This window comes from Homo sapiens, chromosome 1 (assembly GCF_000001405.40).
Source record: "Homo sapiens chromosome 1, GRCh38.p14 Primary Assembly".
NCBI lineage: Eukaryota > Metazoa > Chordata > Mammalia > Primates > Hominidae > Homo > Homo sapiens.
Genome location: NC_000001.11, coordinates 202,662,372 through 202,681,817, shown reverse-complemented (window position 1 = coordinate 202,681,817; position 19,446 = coordinate 202,662,372). Strand labels below are relative to the sequence as shown.

General features: G+C 46.1%; 1 protein-coding gene across 2 annotated transcripts in view, besides 2 other annotated features; it reads left to right on the top strand.

Annotated features, from left to right (window-relative positions):
- SYT2 (synaptotagmin 2) overlaps nt 1-19,446 on the top strand; it is a 119,859-nt gene that overhangs the window by 28,637 nt on the left and 71,776 nt on the right. The gene's annotated exons all lie outside the window — the stretch shown is intronic.
- Nucleotides 4,806-4,974: a silencer, noted in NCBI's record as "fragment chr1:202645972-202646140 (GRCh37/hg19 assembly coordinates)". NCBI's record gives its function as "represses an EF-1alpha promoter that drives an FKBP-Casp9 reporter gene in an ReSE screen in K562 erythroleukemia cells {active_cell/tissue: K562}" and the evidence as "EXISTENCE:reporter gene assay evidence [ECO:0000049][PMID:32094911]".
- Nucleotides 10,003-10,503: an enhancer, noted in NCBI's record as "H3K4me1 hESC enhancer chr1:202640443-202640943 (GRCh37/hg19 assembly coordinates)". NCBI's record gives its function as "activates a minimal SCP1, AML or CMV promoter by ChIP-STARR-seq in naive H9 embryonic stem cells {active_cell/tissue: H9 hESC(naive)}" and the evidence as "EXISTENCE:reporter gene assay evidence [ECO:0000049][PMID:30033119]".

The window sequence follows — 19,446 nt, the reverse complement described above, 5'->3', positions numbered from 1 at the left end:
TGGGAGACATGAATCCTTCCATCCCCTGACTGCTCAGCTGATTTATTGGTGCTACTAGCCCAGACTGGCAGGGGAGTGGGGATGCTTGGTGCCACACATGTCTATGGCTGGGGAGTCATCCAAGCAGCCATCTGAGGACCTGCCGTCCCCTTACCCAGAGGACAACATCCCTGCCCACCGATCATTAGGCTGGTCCTGCTCTCTGTTCCTTTTTGAATCTGGGCCAAGCTCATGCCTTTGCCCTCAGGGCTCAAGATCATACACTCTGGTCTGAAGCTTTTTATCCGCCTAAGGATGAAGGGCTTTCAGCGGGGAGCCTCTTAGATATTTTACTTAACATTTCCTGAGTGCTCCCTGCTGCCAGCGGGGCCATGGCAGGAGAAGTTAAGGACCCTGCTCTGGGGATTTCTCCAGTTAAATAAGACGAGACACCAGTGGCGGTGGAGGATTCTCCGCAGCTGCTGGCTCTCACTTTTAATTTCCTGGGCTCTGACCCCAGGACTCTTCCCTTTAACTCTCCCTCTCACCTCTGGGGCAGTTTGGATGGAGGGAGGATCCCTTATGCAGCTTTCAGGGATGGCAGTGGGAGGGGCGGCTCCTAGGAGGGTGAGAGGGTTGTGGGCAGCAAGGGAAAGTGAGCTTCTTATGGCTTGGCTGTGGCTGGGGGCAGGAGGAGGGGTGTGGCTTGATCTAGGTGAGACCAGGAGCCAGGGTGGGACCAGGGGTGGGGAGGATCTGGCCATTTGGAGTGATCTAACACCTCACTGAGGCATTAGCTGGACTGCATTTGAGGGAGGGCTTGAACAGAGACCCATGTCAGAGGCATCATGGTGGCTTCAGGTAGAAGCAGTGATGGGGAAACAGTGTTTTTGTCAAGGGTTCTTCTCTTGCTCCTCAAATCACCTGCCAGCTTAGCCCAGCCCTATTTTCCCAGGGCCTACAATAGGCAGTGGAGTTTACGGAAATCCACATGCAAGCTCTAGAATGATGGGATCACACCACCACTCTGCATGCCCCTTTGTCTTCAGGAATTTGCTTGTTGGACAGCACCACAGGTGTTGGATAGGGGCAAGGGCTTCAACTCTCTGGGAATGTTTTTAGATGGAGAAAAGCAGAGAGGGGCAAGGAAGAAGCTGGGAATGAGTGGGAATAATGCCAATTGTGTGGTTAAGTAGGATTTGGGGTAACTCTCTCTTTCTCCCCTTGGGCACCTTCTCATTCCCTTCCCATCTTCTTGCCCCATTGGTTATAACAGTGATAATGTTGTGGGTTTTTTTGAGACAGGGTCTCACTTTGTTTCCCAGGCTGGAGGGCAGCGGCATGATCATAGCTCACTTCAGCCTCATCCTCTTGGGCTCAAGTGATCTCCTGCCTTGGCCTCCCAGAGTGTTGGCATTACAGGCATGAGCCTCCATACCTGGCCAACAGTGGCAAATTTAATCATCAAAAGGTTCTATGTATGAGAGAAAGAATCATTCACAAAGATTCCATAGGTAGGTCCAATTTTCTATGGCTCCTAGGGGCAGAAACTGGTATGTTCTAGTTCCCCATTTCAGCACCAATTACATAATGGCCTATATTAATTTGAATCCTCTGAATTTTCAGGTTTGATTTTAGGAAGCTCTATATTTAGGCAAAATGTATGGAGGCCCAACTAAGTGCAGGCCTGTGCTGGGCTCTGGGATATAGAAACAAATAGCCATGGCCCCTCCTTTCAGAGAGTGCATATCCTGGGGAAACTGACATGCAAACTATTAGTTCAGTACAGCGATATGGGATTCAGAAGGAGGGAACACTGGTCATGCTAAGAACTGGTCTTCCAGAGGAGGTGACATTTGATAGATGTTTTGAGGGAGGAGTAGAGGTCGTTTGATGAATAGGGGCATTCTCGGCAGAGAAAGCAACATGGATGACAGTAGAAAAGTGTGGCACAGCATTGAGGGCTGAAGGAAGCCTGGAATCTGAGTGAGGGCCTGGGAGGGGTTGAAGCTAGAAAGAAGGGAGGAGGCTGGATCATGAAGGGCCTTGAATGCTGGGCTAAGGAGTTTGGAGTTTTTTCCATTGAAGGATATTAAGCAGGGACATGATATGACCAGATGTGCCTTTTAGAAAGTTCACTCTGGCAGACATGTGACTCCTGGTTTGAAGGGGAGTGGTGCAGACTGCAGGGAAAGTAGTTAGGAGGTAATTGTGGAATCTAGGTGAGAAATGATGAGGGCCTGGGCCTCTGGGAGACAGAGTCTGCATTTGAGAGCTAATTAGGAAGAGTAATGCACCAAACTTGCTAACCAATTATAAGTGGGAGATAAAGCAAAAGGAAGCTCTGTGATGATTTCTAAGCCTCCGAACCAGACAACTGAGTCAATGATGGTGCCTGGAGCTGAGAAGGGAAATATAGGAGCAAGACTGGGCCTGATTTGAGGGAAAGAATTAGTTTAGTTTGGATATGGGGAGTTTGAGTTACCTTTGGGTAATTACCAATAAACAGCTGCAATTGGTGGGGGGAGGGCTGGTGTTCAGGGGAGGCCCAAGCCCTAGGAGAAGAGAGGGAGTCTTCACCATCAAGGCAGCTGTAGGAAGGGAACAGGAGGGAGACAGAGAAGGGAGTCGGCAGAGACCTCTGGGGGATGCTGACACCAGTGGGACCAGCTTCTCCTCCTGCTCAGCAGCTAAGGAGAAGAAGCTGAGCGGAGGGAAGGAGCAGTAGGAGGGGAGTGAGAGATGGGCGTCGCCCCAGAGCAAGGGAGAGAGGGCAGAAGGGGTGTGGCCCTTGGCAAATGCTTGCATGGCCAAGGCAGATGGGGCAGAAGTGTCCTTGAGAACCGGCATTTCAGAGGCCACTGGGGACCTCTGAAAGCTGTTTCATTGGTTAAGAAGGGTTCAGAATGTAGGGCGATGTGTGTCAGAATGTAGGGCGTTGGGTCAGTAGTTGGGTGGGGGGTGGAGACTCTGAACGTGGCAGCAGGGAACAGCCACACGTCTGTATTGGGAAGAAGAGATGCATGTGGGTAGCTGGAGGTCATCTGTGTTTTAATTTATAAATGGTACAAACTTGAGCTTATCTGTAGATGGGAGAGGCAAAGTGAGTTGAAGGTAGAAGGAAGTTTGGGGACAGTTGGCGAGCAGGATCCTATCAGAGGCAGGAGGGGTTAAGTGAAGGGACTGACCTTGTAAAGGACTAAGGACAGTACCTCTCGAGGCCTATAGGGAGGGGGGAAGCCCCAGAGAAAGAGACTGAATACAGATTTCAGGGAGGGACATGAACATTAAGGGAGCCGTATGAAAACAGGATCTCAGAGAGGGAGGGGCACTGGGTGAGCCTTGGAATGAAAAGATGAAAGAAGAGAAGAGGTGGAGAGTTGGAGAGATGGTGAAAGAAACAGATGCAGTCTCCAAATCACAGACGCTAAATCTGATCTTACCTCAGTCATAGAATCTTTGCAGTGCCATATTTAAAAAAAAATTTAGAAAGGTTAACAGAGCAGAAAAGTACAAGCATCCATTTTATTTTATTAGTTTTTTTTTTTTTTTTTTTTTTTTTTTTGAGACAGAGTCTCGCTCTGTCACTCAGGCTGGAGTGCAGTGGCACGATCTCGGCTCACTGCAACCTCTGCCTTCCAGGTTCAAATGATTCTTGTGCCTCAGCCTCCCAAGTAGCTGGGATCACAGATGCCTGCCACCACGCCTGGCTAATTATTGTATTTTTAGTCCAGACAAGGTTTCGCCACATTGGCCAGGCTGGTCTTGAACTCCTGACCTCAAGTGATCCACCCGCCTTGGCCTCTCAAAGTGCTGGGATTACAGGCATGAGCCATTGTGCCTGGCCCCAATCATCCATTTTCACAGAAATAACAAATGTTAATGTTTGGTCAGTCTTTTTCCCTGTATAGTTAAGAACAACACAAATAATATATGTACACATTCTTCTTTATAAAAATGTAGGTATGTATGTAAGCCATCACAGGTAAAGCTAAAATCCCTTTTGGAGATTTTACTCCTTATCCACTTCCTCAAAAGCACCCATGATGATTTTGCTGTTCATATTTCATAAATCATATAGTGTCGGGTTTACCTGACAATATGAAACACCTTATAATAAACCACCTCAAATTAGTGGCCTAAAACAAAAACAATCATTTACTTTGATCAGAAATCTACAGTTTGAGCAGGGCTCAGCTGGGATGGTTCATCTCTGTTCCACATGGTGTCTGTTTCTTTGGGGCCCCTGGAGGATCTACTTTCAACATAGCTCATTCACATGGCGAGTTGGGGCTGGCCATCAGCTGGGAATTCAGTGGGGACTGTGGGCCAGGGCTTTCTGTTCTTCTCCATATGGATCCCTCCATGGACTTCTTGAGCTTCCTCACAGCATGGTGGCTGGTCTCCAAGAATAAGTGCCTAAGAGAACAAGGTGGAAGTGCATTACATTTTCATTACCTAGCCTTAGTCATGTAGCGTCACTTCTGCCATAATTTACTGGTCAAAGCAGTAACAAAATCCATCAATTTCAAGGAGAGGGTACACAGACCCTCTCTCTCAACATCAAAGTCACATTATCAGAAGAACATGTGGGATGGGAGATGAGAATCTGCCACATATGTATTTAAAACCTGTATTTGTCTGTTCTCACACTGCTGTAAAGAACTACCTGAGACTGGGTAACTTATGAAGAAGAGAGATTTCATCAACTCACAGTTCCACAGGCTGTACAGTAGGCATGGCTGGGAGGCCTCAGGAAATCTACAATCGTGGCAGAAAGTGAAGGAGAAGCAGGTACTGTATTCACATGGCCAGAGCAGGAGAGAGAGAGAACAAAGGTGGAAGTGCTACACTCTTTCAAACAATCGGATCTCATGAGAACTCTATCATGAGAACAGCAAGGGGGAAGTCTGCCCCCATGATTCAGTCACCTCCCACCAGGCCTCTCCTTCAACATGTGGGGATTACAATTAGACATGAGATTTGGGTGGGGACATAGGGCCAAACCATAGCAAAGCTTTTACATAAACAGTATTTTATAGTCTATATTCTTTAACTTGCTTTTTCTCACTCAGCATTATGTTTGTGAAATTTAGAGCTGAACTTACTTTTTTATACCTGTCATGGCTGGTGTTCAGGTCCAGGGAGTGAGGAGGAGCTGTTAGCAATATCATGAATTTGATTTCAGTGTAGCCTTCTATTATTGAAGCCAAAATGCTAGCCTGGGAAAAGCTTCTGTTTTGATCAGCACTATTATATCCAAAAAGCTGAGCCGGTTGTCTGATCTGAAATGCAAGATTCATGCCAATTGTTTAAGCAGAAGCTTCAGCAAGAAAGGTAAAGAGGAACAGAATCAGAATGAATTGAATGAGGGTCTGCATGCTAGGTGTTGTAAGATATGCAAACAGACAGACAGATACCCATGGATGGGGAGAAGGTTTGTAAGCTGAGTAGAGGAGTTCAGAGAGGGTGGGAAAGGATGGATGTTGAGCTAAGAGCTGGCTTTGGGAAGGATTCTCTGCCCCATGGGCTCCTCCAGGCCAGGATGGCATCTCATCTATTTCCTTGTCCCCAACTCCCTGGAGGGCACCTGGTTCAATAAATGTGGTTGAATGTGGGAAGTGGGACTTGAGCAGACTCTGAATTGGGTGGGGGGAAGGGAGGAAGATGGGCATTCTGTAGTTAGGACCACAGCCTGCGTACCCTGGGCTGGAGCAACAGTGAGACATCCAACTGGCTGCAGGGGTGGAAAGGCGGTGGCCTTAGTGAGACTGGCCTTTGAAGTGAGTTGGGTTGGGATTGAACCTGGCTTGTCAATTACTAGTGAGATGACTAGAAGGACAAGTTATCAGTTTCCTCATCTGTAAAATAGACATAGTAACGCCTGCCTAAACTGGCTGTGAGGATTAAATGGAAAGATGCAAAGTGTTTAGCACAGTGTAATGCACCTAACACATGGTAAATGCTCAAAAGAGGTTAGGAATGATTACTATTCAAGCTAGGGTCAGATGACAGGTGGCTTGACCCTAAGCTGGAGAGCTTTAATTTGGTCCTCTAGGTGTTGTTTCAGGATTATTAGCCTGGCTGCTTGGACCGGTTAGAGGAAATGGGGTAAGGTGGAAGGGAACCAGCCAGCAGATCATGTGAGAAATCCATTTGGGTATCAGTGAATGAGTATGTCCCATTCTTGAGGACTGGGATTCTTCCTGCTCGGTGTCCAGGACCTCTAGTGATAACATTTGCAAGTGCACATATCCACATGTGGGTTAGAAACAGAAAAGCCCAGCCTTTCCCTGAGTCCCTGAAGATCTCAGAGTGACTCCAGCCCCTTGGGAAAGACTTTGCTGAGCTCCCAACTCAACTGTGGTCCCTGGTCAAATACTTTCATGGCTGTCTATGCTTTGCATTAATAGTCTTCACATAATTTTCAATTGTGTATATATATTATATAATTATTATAATATATATTAATTATATATATAATTATTTAGTGTGTGTCTCTCCCACAAGACTGTAAGCTCAATGAGAGCAGGGCCTATTAGTGTGTTTGGCACACACTTACTTGAAAGTAATTTGTTAAATGAATGACTGCACGTTAAATATATGGTCATACAGACTCATTCATGTGCCCAACGTGCTCAGTATTCACCACATCTTATTTTTCCTTAGTAGACATCCTAGTGCACATATGCAGACATCATATGGTCACACATACACAGTCCTCATTCAACAGTTAACTACTGGGCCCTCCTGTGCACCCAGCACTGTTCAGGGGATGCTGTAATAAACAAGAAAGCCATGGCCCTCTCTGAGCACCTGGCATTTTCTTGGGAGGCATGGACAGACAATAAACAAGGTGAGTTCTGAACAAGATAACTTCAGATGGTAGTAAGTGCTCTGAAGGAGGCGAAGCAGGCTGAGATCATGACATTGAGATTATTGGGGTGGTGCTCAGGGCAGAGCATGCTGGGCAGTGGGGGAGGGGGCCGGCCAGTCTGAGGGTGTCTGGAGGGGACATGTGGGAGGCCAGTGTGACCAGAGCAGTGTGTGAAGGTGAGAGAGCAGAGCTGCGGCCAGTGAAGTGGGAGGCCTGGACTGCTGAGGTCAGATTAAACAGTAGGGGTTTCATACCAAGTGCAATGGGAGTCCTTGGAAAATTTTAAGCTGAGGAGAGATGATTTGGTTTACCATTTGAAAAGAATCCTTAGGCTGGTAACAGATCATACTCCCATCAGTTATACAGATATGGATGAGTGATTGAACACACATAATCTCACTAAGTACTTGCAGCCATTTATCAAAGCTCATATTTCTATATTCACACATGTGTACATATCACATCATATTACACAGACTTTCACATCCTTCCACACAGATGTTCATATGCTCAGATGGACCATGCTAACACTGGGGTATATGCATAATTAAAAACACCTAGGCCAGGCGCGGTGGCTCATGCCTGTAATCCCAGCACTTTGGGAAGCTGAGGTGGGCGGATTAACTGAGGTCAGGAGTTCGAGACCAGCCTGGCCAATATGGCAAAACCCTGCCTCTGCTAAAAATACAAAAATTAGCTGCACGTGGTGGTACACGCCTGTAATCCCAGCTACTCAGGAGGCTGAGGCACGAGAATTGCTTGAACCCAGGAGGCGGAGGTTGCAGCGACACAAGATCACACCACCGCACTCCAGCCCAGGTGACAGAGTGAGACTCTGTCTCAAAAAATAAAATAAAACAAATAAATATACCTGTGCTCTCCCATTGTTCAGAAATTCACACACATACCCACACAAGAATACTCACACATTAAAAAAAATACACATTAACCTGCCACATAGACCTTCATGTATTACACACAAATATCACATGTATGTAACGGCAGGTTCCCATATCCACTCCTACCCAGAACCAGCCAACTGTCACTGCCCATCAGCCAGGCAATCTCATTCAGGCTTCTAATGGCAAATGAGATCAGAACTCTGTGAGGAATTGTCTTCTCTGTTGAGCATAAATGTGCTAAATAAATCTCCCTGCCTCGAATAAATCTTGTACAGATGTAGAAAATGCATTAAAGGCTGAGAAACTAGAGGTGGCTGGAGACAGCCATGGGAACAGAGTAGTAAATCTGCAAGGGGTGTGCCGGCAGCTGGGGCTGTCCAGGGCAAGGAAAGGAGCTGGGTGTGCGGGCAAGTCTTCCTGGAGGTCACCCCAAGGTAACTATGGCCTCATTCCCTGGGTAATGTGTCCCTTCAACTGGAGCTGTTGGGACCTAAGGATGTGGGTGAGCATCGATCTTCGTGACACAGAAACATCCATCTCATTGGATCCATTCAGGGAGGAAAAGTACTTGTTGAGTCAAAACTCACTCCAAACTTTTCAGAGTATGGACACAGAACATTGATACATTTTTGGTTTGTTTGGGCCTGATTTAGATGTGAATTACTGATTCTTTCCTGCAATGTAACTGAGGGTCCAGGCCCATGATTTTATTATATCGTTGGGTCCATTTTCACGTACCTTTTAACTTACATGTTCCAACGCTGAAGCTGACCTGCCACACAGGGTCTTGCTGTTTATTCTAGAAGACTTAATAGTACTTATAGTTCAGACATTTTCCCCTTTTCAGATGATTTATTAAAATGTTCAGTAAACCCAAGCCCACCATCTACACTTGGAGGATGGCTAATATGTTATTTTCTTTTGTTTCCCATCTCCAAGATTTTCTTATAACACCATCCATAAGCCCAGATTTCTGGGCAAGAAATGAAAAATATTTTCATTTAGTTTACACACTAGCAAACGTTTGGATATTGTGAGACAGCTGGAGCCTGTACTGCCCTCCCAGCTGCTAGTTTGGTTATTTCGGCTCTACATTTTTAAGACTTTTTCTTTAGTTTTCTGCAGTTTTCCTGTGATATGTCTAGACATGACTTTCTTTTTATTTTTTGCTGCTTGGGATTTGTTGGGTTTCTTGAATCTGTGGATTGATATATTTTATCAGGTCTGGGTATCTTCTGCCTTTCTCTCCTCAAGTGTTGCCTTAGCCTCTCTCTCTCTCTCCCTCCCTCCCTCTCTCATTTCCCACCTGTAATTCCAATGAAATGTCTGTTTTCTTCTCATCCTCTTTTACCCTTTATTCTGCTTCTGCCAAGTTTTAACCACTGTGTTCTGGATTATTTCTTCTGATCTGCTTTCCAGTTCATTAATGTCTTCTTCAGCTGTGTTAAACTTGAGATTATATCTGTTCATTGAACTTGTATTTTCAGTTATTGTATGTAAATACAATAACATACAATCTTACCATATTAGTCTGCACCAGCCGCTAAAATGAAATGCCATAGACTGGGTGTCTTAAACAACAGACCTTTATTTCTCACAGTTCCGGAGACTGGAAGTCTAAGATCAAGGTGCTGGCAGATGTGGTTCTGGGTGAGGGCCCTCTTCCTGGCTCGCAGATGTCAGCCTTCTGGCTACATCCTCTTCCCATGGCAGAGGACCCCCATTTCATGGCCTCATCTAAACCTAATTCTCTCCCAAAGGTCCCACTTCCAAATACCATCACACTGGGGGTTAAACGAATTTCAACATATGAATTTTGGGAGGACGCAAACATTCAGTCCATAGCACTGCATTTGTCAATTATAAGCTTTATATTTTATTGTTTTCAAACTATCATGTGGCACGTTTTACAGTTTCTGGCTATTTGCTGAAATTTTCGATGTTGGCTTTTTATTTACTTGATACTGAAAACATAGTTGTTTTATAATCAGTACCTGCCGTTCCCCTATCTGGAGTCCCTGTGGATCTCTTTCTGTTATCTGTTGTTCCTGACAGTTCTTTCTCAAGGTGTCTTGTTTCTTTGTGTGCCTGAGTTCCTTTAATTATGTAGTAAGCATTGTTTTTGACAAATCATTTGCTATCTTCCCTGGAGAGAAATTTTTCTTTCTTTTTTATTTTTATTCTTTTATTCAGAGATAATTTTTTTAGCTTCTGCAGTGTGCCTGGGGGCATTCTTAGGGCAGGGAAGCTTCATTCAAGTTCAGGGCTTAAGTTTTCATGGCCAGAGAGTGAAGTCAGCTTAGAAGCCCATCTGGTTTTGTTCTGCATGTAAGGGATGAGCCCCTTTGGGGTCGATTCTAAAGCAATAGGTAGTTTATCAAAGGCCTGCCTTGGTGGATTCTGGACATTATTGACTTTCGTTTCTCTAGGCCTGGGAGGCTGCCAAAAGTGAGCCCAGCCAAGCTGAATTTCTCAGCAGTTTCCTCCTGAGGGACAAATGCCCTCAGGGCAAAAGCGACTTCCAGCTCTGGGTTTTTGTTGTCTTCTAGATTTGGGCCCAGCATTTCCTCACTAGCTTGTCTTTGACACTGTTTAGGTGCTTTTTGTATTTCATCAAACTTTTTTCCTCAGTGGGAGGGTCGATCTTGACGGCCTAAATTCCCTCGCTAAAAATGGGTCTCTCCGCCTTGGCCCATGCACAGTTGGCTGCCCTGGTGCTGTGCTGGGGACTGGCCTCCACCGCCATGAGCTTGTCCCAGGCAGGCAGGAGTGGCAGCACTTTCCTCTGGCTCCAACTCCAAGGCCTTGACAGATCAGGGGCTGCCTCTGGTTCTCATGCTTTCCCCAGTCCTCTTTGAGTTCTTTTCTCAAAGGTGGGGAAGGCTGATCATGACTTTGTTTCTAAAAGGAGGGGCCCCTATTGCCCCTCACAGGGGTTGAAGGCTGGTGCAGATGGGAGTTTTGCTGGTCTGACTGCTTCATTAGGCTAGCTGATCGCCGATGGGAGTGGCGGGCTGCTTATCACAAAGGATTGGTTCTTTGGCCTCGCCTGTATCAACCCTGACCAGGTGAACAGACTCAGGCCCAGCTGACCCAGCAGAGATCACTGGGTGGCCTTGGGATGGTGAACATTTAGAATCCAGCCCCATCCACAGGTCGTTAAATCAGTTATTCTCCTTGTTTTATCAATGATACCGATGGCTGTGTATGATTAGTCAGAGCCCACATTGATCAGAACAGACTGGGACAAACAAAAGATGAATTTTAATACAGAGCAATGACCCAAGGCTGCAGGGACACCTTCCTTTCATGCTGCTCCCTTGACAGCTGCTTTCAAACATTAGGTGTGGAGAGGCCTAAGTCACCCATCTCGCCCACCCATGTTGTTCCAACCAGACTTGGCCGTTACAAATGGTCATGGCCATGTTATGCTCACAGCAACTAGGGAGTGAGTAATTAATCCTGGTGAGAACTTCATTAATCTTGATTTAGTGCCCAGTGGAGTTGTGCTCCTCTTCCCCCTCCCCCTTCATTTTTCTAGACATTTAATGACTGAAGGAAGAATGTGAATACCCAGGGAGAGCTAGCTGGGCTTGGGGGATTCTGTGGCTCTTCAGCTCCTTGGAACCTCAGAAGCCCCACCACAGTTTTCAGCCAGTAGCTCCCTGGGCACCAAAGGAAATTTAGCAATGCAGGGGTTAAAGGGTTGAGTGCCCGATGCTCCCACTTCTCTATGATCCTGCAATCCCATGCTGTCTTGGCCTAGGTTCCTCAGCTTCAGGAGTAACAGTATCTTCTCAGTTCCTTCTCTGTCTGTTCCCAGTGCTCCTGTGAGGCCGGGTCACTCATGGGACCTCACAAACTGCAGAGAGGCTAAATTCTAACATTCCTGCATTGCCCTAAACACTGAAAACGCCTCTCTTAGGACCCCTGGCTGATAGCATTAGTGGTATTCTCTGAATCTTTCTCCCTCTTGGGTTGCCACAAGCCCTCCTTCCTCACGAGTGCTGGCATATGTCAGTGAGTACAGGTGTGCTGATGAATGTTGGGGTGTGGGTGGCACTGTTGTTCAATGGATCTGGACCTGCAAGCTTTGTATTCATCACGCCCTCTGCTTTTACACCAATGAGGATAAGCTGTCACCAGGCAGATGACAGTGCCTCGGTTATGCCCAGATCTGAAAGGCCAGGGCTCCCAGGTAGGTTGACTGAATGAGAGACATGTTTCGTGTCTTTCTACTCAACTATGGTCTTGAAATCTATTAAAGATAAGAATTGTGGGTGGTCTTTTTTTTTTTTTTTTGAGACAGGGTCTCACTCTGTCATCCAAGCCGGAGTTCAGTGGTATGATCATGCCTCACTGCAGCGTTGACCTCCTGGGCTCAAGTGATCCTCCCACGTCAGCCTCTGATTAACTGAGACCACAGGCGTCCACCACTAGGCCCAGCTAATTTAATTTTTTTTTTTTGAGATGCAGTCTTGCACCGTCACCCGGGCTGGAGTGCAATGGTGTGATCTCGGCTCACTGCAACCTCCCCCTCCCAGGTTCAAGCAATTCTCTGCTTGTATTTTTAGTAGAGATGGGGTTTTACCATCTTGGCCAGACTGGTCTTGAACTCCTGACTTCATGATCCACCCGCCTCGGCCTCCCAAAGTGCTGGGATTACAGGTGTGAGCCACCGCGTCCAGCCTAAATTATTTTTTTGTACAGACAAGGTCTCACTATGTTGCCCCGTTGGTCCCAATCACCTGAGCTCAAGTGATCCTCCTGCCTCAGCCTCCCAAAGTGCTGGGATTACAGGTGTGAGCCATCATGCCTGTGCTAAAGATAAAAATTAAACATTAGTATTTCTAAACAGTATTTTAGTGCACAATTTAATGCAAGATGTAAAGAGATGCAAAGATTTTGTCTAGTTATGTGACTCACAGTATCTCACTTTGTGTTAGTAGTTGCTTAGCCTCACTGATATTTTCATGGCTTGTGTGGAATTAATGCATGCTGAATTTATTAACTGTACCCTAGACTTTCAGAAACATCAACAGGTCCCGAATTCCTGAAGGCTTGACATAAATGAGACACAGACAGATACCTGATTACTACAAGATTTCCTCCTACTCAGCCAGTCATTTCTACCTGATGTAACAAGCCTCCTCTTGGCTTCTACTTCAAGAGATGCATGTGGCTTCAACACTCAGGTCATCCAGTTGCCCAGGGGCCATCGGTCAGTGCCTCGCCACCCTGTCTTTGAGGAGATGCCTTATGGAGTGGTGGTTGGGCCTTGGAGTCAGACAGATTCAAGCCCAAATCCCAGCTCTGTCCCTTGGTGGCCATGAGCTCTTATGCAAGTTACCTGCTTTTATTCTGGAAAATGGGCAGAGTAATGCCTGCCTATAAGAAATACTTCAAGGCAAGGAATTATTATTCTCCTAGGTAGCATAATGCACATAAAATGGCTAGCACAGGTCTGGCATGTAGTAAGCACTTGATAAATGAATGTTGTCATTATGTTCTCTTCCCCAAATAAAGGATTTCTCTCTATTTGCCCCAGAGCTTTTAAACCCTGTGGATCTTATAGTAATTCTACCTATAAACATTGCTAGCAGTTTTCACTCTTAACAAACTACAGAATGAAAATATAATCTCGATTATATTTTTGCATTTATTTGAGTAATATGCTATCAACTTTATAAAGCACTTTCACATATACTGTTCTATTTATCTCCCACATCACACCTGAGAGGTTTAGACCGTAATGAAAAAAAGACTTGAAGCAGACATGTGTCTTAACCAGTTTATCTGAGTGTGTCTGAGTGTACCAACAGATGTGGATGAGCGCACGAGAGATGTGTGAGCCCATGTCTCCACGTGTCTGTGACTATGAGTGTTGGAGCCCTACAATATATTCAATGATTTTATACTCTGGGGGGCTATAGATCTTCTGCCTCTATTCTGTTCCCACCAAAATGTCCTTCTCCATTTATTTGTGTGCTGTTGAACTGCTGCATAGGCTTTGATGGTGCTGAGAGGGAGGATTGCCTGAAAATATCTGGGCCGGGCGCGATGGCTCACGCCTGTAATCCCAGCACTTTGGGAGGCCGAGGTGGGCAGATCACGAGGTCAGGAGTTCGAGACCAGCCTGGGCAACATGGCGAAACCTTGTCTCTACTAAAAATACAAAAATTAGCTGGGTGTGGTGGCAGGTGCCTGTAATCCCAGCTACTCAGGAGGCTGAGGCAGGAGAATCGCTTGAACCCGGGAGGCAGAGGTTGCAATGAGCCAAGATCATGCCACTGCACTCCAGCCTGCTCGACAGAGCAAGACTCCATCTCAAAATAAATAAATAAAATAAAATAAAATAAAAATAAAAGAAAATATCTGAGAAGCCTACTGTGGGCTCAGTCCATTACTCTCATGGGACTTTTGTATTGACTGACTTATTGATTGATGTAATCTTCATGGTTACACATACCAATGTGGTTTATTTAGAATGACCACTGTAAAATAAAGTATCCACAACTCTTTCTGATAAATACACACAGGAAGGTACACACACACACACACACACACACACACACACACACACACACACACACGGCTGGTCACTTGCCTGTTGTCTTTAGATCCTTTCCTCTGCTCAGCAAACTACATTTCCCAAGCTCCCCTGACAAGTGGATTCTGGGTAGGTTCAGCCACAGGCAGGCGTTGGTGGAGACTGTAGGGTGGGAGGAGGGGAGAATCCCTTTCTCTCTTTGCCTCAAGTGGCCTCTCTGGCAGTAGTTGTGTTTCCTCTATGGATCTAGTTTTTAATAGAAGGCCCCAGATTCTGGGTCCCAATAACACCACCTCCTCCTTTTTTTCCTCCCAGCCCTAGGAGTGGTAGTAGCTCTTTAATACTGTTTTCCTTTCGGTTGAGTCTTTTCCCCGCCTTACTTCTCAGTTCTCTATCAACTGTTAAATTACTATAAGATTCATAAGGCTTAAATACTCTGGGACAAATAGAGAGGAATCCTTTATATGGGAAAGAGAACATAATGACAATCTTTTGGGTTTTTGTTTGTTTTGTACGTTTTGTTTTTTTGAGACAGAGTTTCGCTCAGTTGCCCAGGCTGGAGTGCAATGGTGTGATCTTGTCTCATTGCAACCTCTACCTCCTGAGTTCAAGTGATTCTCCTGCCTCAGCCTCCTGAGTACCTGGGATCACAGGCACCTGCCATCACACCCGGCTAATTTTTGTATTTCTGGTAGAGACGGGGTTTTGCCATGCTGGCCAGGCTGGTCTTGAACTCCTGACCTCAGGTGATCCGCCCATCTTGGCCTCCCAAAGTGCTGGGATTACAGGCATGAGCCACCGTGCCTGGCCTTCTAGGTCTTTCAAACAGTGAATTTAATAAGAGGATTAGGGGCCGGGTGCTCTGACTCACCATGGTAAGCACATTGGTCCCAGAGAGTCTCAATAGACCGATAAAGTCATTCACTTTGGGCTGCGTCTGTGACATACCTCTGAAATGGTAGGTGTTTATCACGGAGAGATTGTTCTCTTCTCCTGCCCTACCCCAGCATCCCCAGTATTCAGCCTTCAAACCCTCTCCTCTCTGTACATTATGTGTGGGCCTAAAGAAGATGCAAAATCCTGGGCCCTCCGCATTCTAGGTTTGCTCTGTAGGGTATTGGTCTGTCCTGATTTCCTGGTTGGGAATCTTCTTTGAGGGAAGAGAATGCTACCATTTTCACCAGCAAACTGGATCTAGATTCTGATGAAACAGCCAGTCAAGCTGTCTGATCACTGGGGAAATTTAAGTGAAATTAATTGTTTGGCATCATGAGGACCAGGGACTAGATAATCTTTTTTTCCTGCTGAGAGCTGCTCACAAAACTATCTTATTTTAGCTTTTTTTTTTTTTTTTTTTGAGACGGAGTCTCGCTCTGTCGCCCAGGCTGGAGTGCAGTGGCACGATCTCGGCTCACTGCAAGCTCCGCCTCCCTGGTTCACGCCATTCTCCTGCCTCAACCTCCCGAGTAGCTGGGACTACAGGCGCCCGCCACCACGCCCGGCTAATTTTTTGTATTTTTAGTAGAGACGGGGTTTCACCATGTTAGCCAGGATGGTCTCGATCTCCTGACCTTGTGATCCGCCTGCCTCGGCCTCCCAAAGTGCTGGGATTACAGGTGTGAGCCACAGCGCCCGGCTAGTTAGCTTTTTAAAGAAATAAATTTGTGATTTGCTTCTTAAATTAGAAATCATGATCACAAATCTCCATTTAATAAACAACAAAACAAGTGTAAACATTTCACTGATGACCAATGAATGTGGAAAGGAGCAAGAGACAGATGCGGGGGAGGGAGAGAAGAGCAAATGAGGAGAGAAAGGTGCACCGAGGCCCTCCCAAGAGATCCTGGTGTGTAGAAAATGAGGAAGTATGGAAACAGACCCATAATTCATGAAGCAATGACCCCACTCTTCTGGCCTTGTAGGATGTCGCAGCTGGAGACTTTTAAAGTAGCTTTATCTTCCCAGCTATAGACTATCTGAAGGCCCAGGAGTCAGAGCTCCAAACAGACTTTTCCCTTGGTTGCTTTAGTCCAGAAGAAACACCAGGCATCACATATTCATCTGCCTGTCTCTGTGACAAGGGCCTTGAGGTCAGGCGCCTTGTCATATGTACTTAGCCCAGGACTTAGTAAGTACTTATAATTTTTTGATGAATGTCACTGAAAGGGAATCAGAAAACTAAAAAGGAGTATAGAAGTTATTGGGTTCATCCTCTCCCTAAACAAGACATACCTAAGTACCTTTGACTCTGTGCTTTACGCAAGAGGTGACAGCAAAAACTGTTCTGTTGTTGTCATTGTTGCCCTTTTCCTCCTCATCACTTTCATCCCAGGGACCAGTTCATTACCCTCTTAGGAGGCAGCAGAGTTTCTTAGAACAGAAGACTGTAGGAAGAGTAAGAGCAGAATATACATAAATAAATTATTTTAAATTGAAATTAAAAACTTAAATAGGTACATCATAGAATGGCATACTATATTCAGTAATAAAAAGAATGAACTCTTCTTACCTGTAACGACATGAATGAATCTTAGAATAATTATGCTGAGAAGTCCGGGTGCAGTGGCTCACGCCTGTAATCCCAGCACTTTGGGAGGCCAAGGCAGGCAGATCACCTGAGGTCAGGAGTTCGAGATGACCCTGGCCCACATGGTGAAACCCTGTCTCTACTAAAAATACAAAATTAGCTGGGCATGGTGGTGGGCACCTGTAATCCCAGCCACTTGGGAGGCTGAGGCAGGAGAATCGCTTGAACTCAGGAGGCGGAGGTTGCAGTGAGCCAAGATCGCGCCATTGCACTTCAGCCTGGGCAACAGAGTAAGACTCTGTCTCAAAGAATAATTATGCTGAGTAAAAGGAGCCATCCCAGAAGAGTACATCCTGTAATGATTCCATTCCTGTAAGATTTTCAAACAAGCAAAACTTGACAATGAACCAAATCACAGTTTACCTGGTGCTGGGGATGATAGGGGCTGAGTGCAGAGAGGCACAAGGAAATGCTTGAAGGTGATGGAAACGTGCTGTATATTGATTGGGGTGGTGGGAAAGTGCATATACACTTAACAAAATTCATCAAACTGCATACTTAAAATGAGGATATTTCATTGCATGTATGTATTATAATTCAATGAAGTTGATTGGAAAACATAAAATGAGGCCAATGATGGAGACTGGGGCCTTGTTGCTGTTGTGTGCATGCAGGAAACCCAAGAAGGATGGCAGTGAGTCACCTTCCTGCTAGCTAAGGATGAACCAGAATGAGAGGCATGAGCTGGGACTTCACAGGAGCCTCATGGACTATTAGAAAGAGGGTCTTGAAATCTCTTTCTTCCCTGTACATGGAAAGGTCCTCCCTCTACCCCTCTCAACATTCATATCCTCTGTTTGGGGAAGCCGGGGTTCAGGCAGTGGGTAAGACTGCCTTTCCCTACCTGCGTTGCAAAGAGAAGACAATGACTTGAGGGTAGAAGAGCACGCAGCAAGGCAGCTGACATCCCCGATGCTGCCTCATTGCAGATTCCAGAGGGCACTGTGCTTGTGGAATCCTGGAGTTTTGTAACTTGGCTGACCTTACATCTGGGGGAGGAACTTCTTGGATCCCAAGCCCATCCAAAAGTTAGTACAAACCCAGAGAAAGGAGCATCCGTTCCTCTAAGAGCCCAGTAGACAGAGCAGCCAGATCCCTCAGCACCCAGGCACAGCGAGTGCATCCAGAGCTGCCCCGTGGTCTTCCTGCCCTGCCTGCCACAGCCCTGCAGCTCAAGCAGAGGTCCCTTAGCCAGCCTCAGAGGAGATAGTGTCTGGAATTGCTTTAAAATACTCCAGAAGAAAAAGTGTGAGGGGGAAGAGGTAAAAGGGGATTGTAGAATATTCTTATATATTGAAATTGGGTGACGAGCACATGAGGCATATTATACTCACCTTTGTACCTATGTGTAAGTTTGAGGATATAGTCATAATAAAAGATCTATTTAAAATGTTGCCGCTGAGGTTTCGAAGTGGAGTGAACAGAAACACAACGGTGCTGTGGACAGACACAGGGGATTCAGGAAGAGGAGCCGGTTTGAAGGCAAAGGTTTTTGGAGTTTTCTTGGGGAAGTATTGTGTACTTGGTGCAGATGGTGACGCCCAGCAACCTGGAAAGAAGAGGGCAGGGCCGGGAGCAGGCTGAACTGTCGGCATGGCAACTGAATGTCCATGCTAGAATGGCTGCCGATAAAACCTGCTATCCCAGAACCCTTCTTATTGCTGAGGGTAATGACCTCCGCATCCCTTGGTTCTCCCTCTGAGAAGATTGAACGCCTTGCTGTCCCTGGGGCAAAGGGTGGCTGGCTTGAGTTCTCTTTCTTGTTAGCCATGAAAGGGCCTCCCCTGTGTTGGGCTGATACCTTGATTGCTGTCCCTTGCCCCACATACTCATAATCCCAGGAAAACTTCCAGAAAAGAGGACTCATGATGATGCCGAGAGAGATTAAGTGACTGATGACAGTTCACATTGCTAAGCATATCCAAGGAGTTAGTACTGCAGCCTGCTACTGCTTCTCTCCTCTGGGAAAGAACAAGCTCATTTCCCCTTCCAAGCCCCAGTCACTTCTCCATTATTATTACCGACAATTTACTATGTGCCTGGGACTTTGCAAATCTATTCTGTACACATTATTTTTAATCCTCAACAACATTATTAGATGGATATTAGTAACCCTCTTTTACAGGTGATGATCCTGAGGCCCAGAGAGGTTACCTGACTTGCCCAAGGCTACTCAGATAGTAAAGGCTTAGCTAACGATGGGACCAGGCTTTGTGTAATGCCAAAGCCTGTACCTGCAACCATAACACACAGCGTCTCTTAATGAGCCTGGCACATGTCCAGGGAAGTTAGGGACATGTGCACTCACCTAGAGAGGATGGAGTACATAGGGTCTTTCCACCCACCCCGCTCCATCCGTTGCCTCTTGGTTAATGATGTACCTGAGCCGGTGGAAGGGTAGCACTTGGCCCTGCCAGTATCTGCGCTGTCATAGTCCAGGTAGACTATGGAGGAGCCCTTGGCCTCAGTGAGTTTTAGTAATTGATGTGCTGTCTTCCAGATGCTGCCCTGAGCATCATTACTAATTAGAGGGTTAACTTTCTTGCCTTGA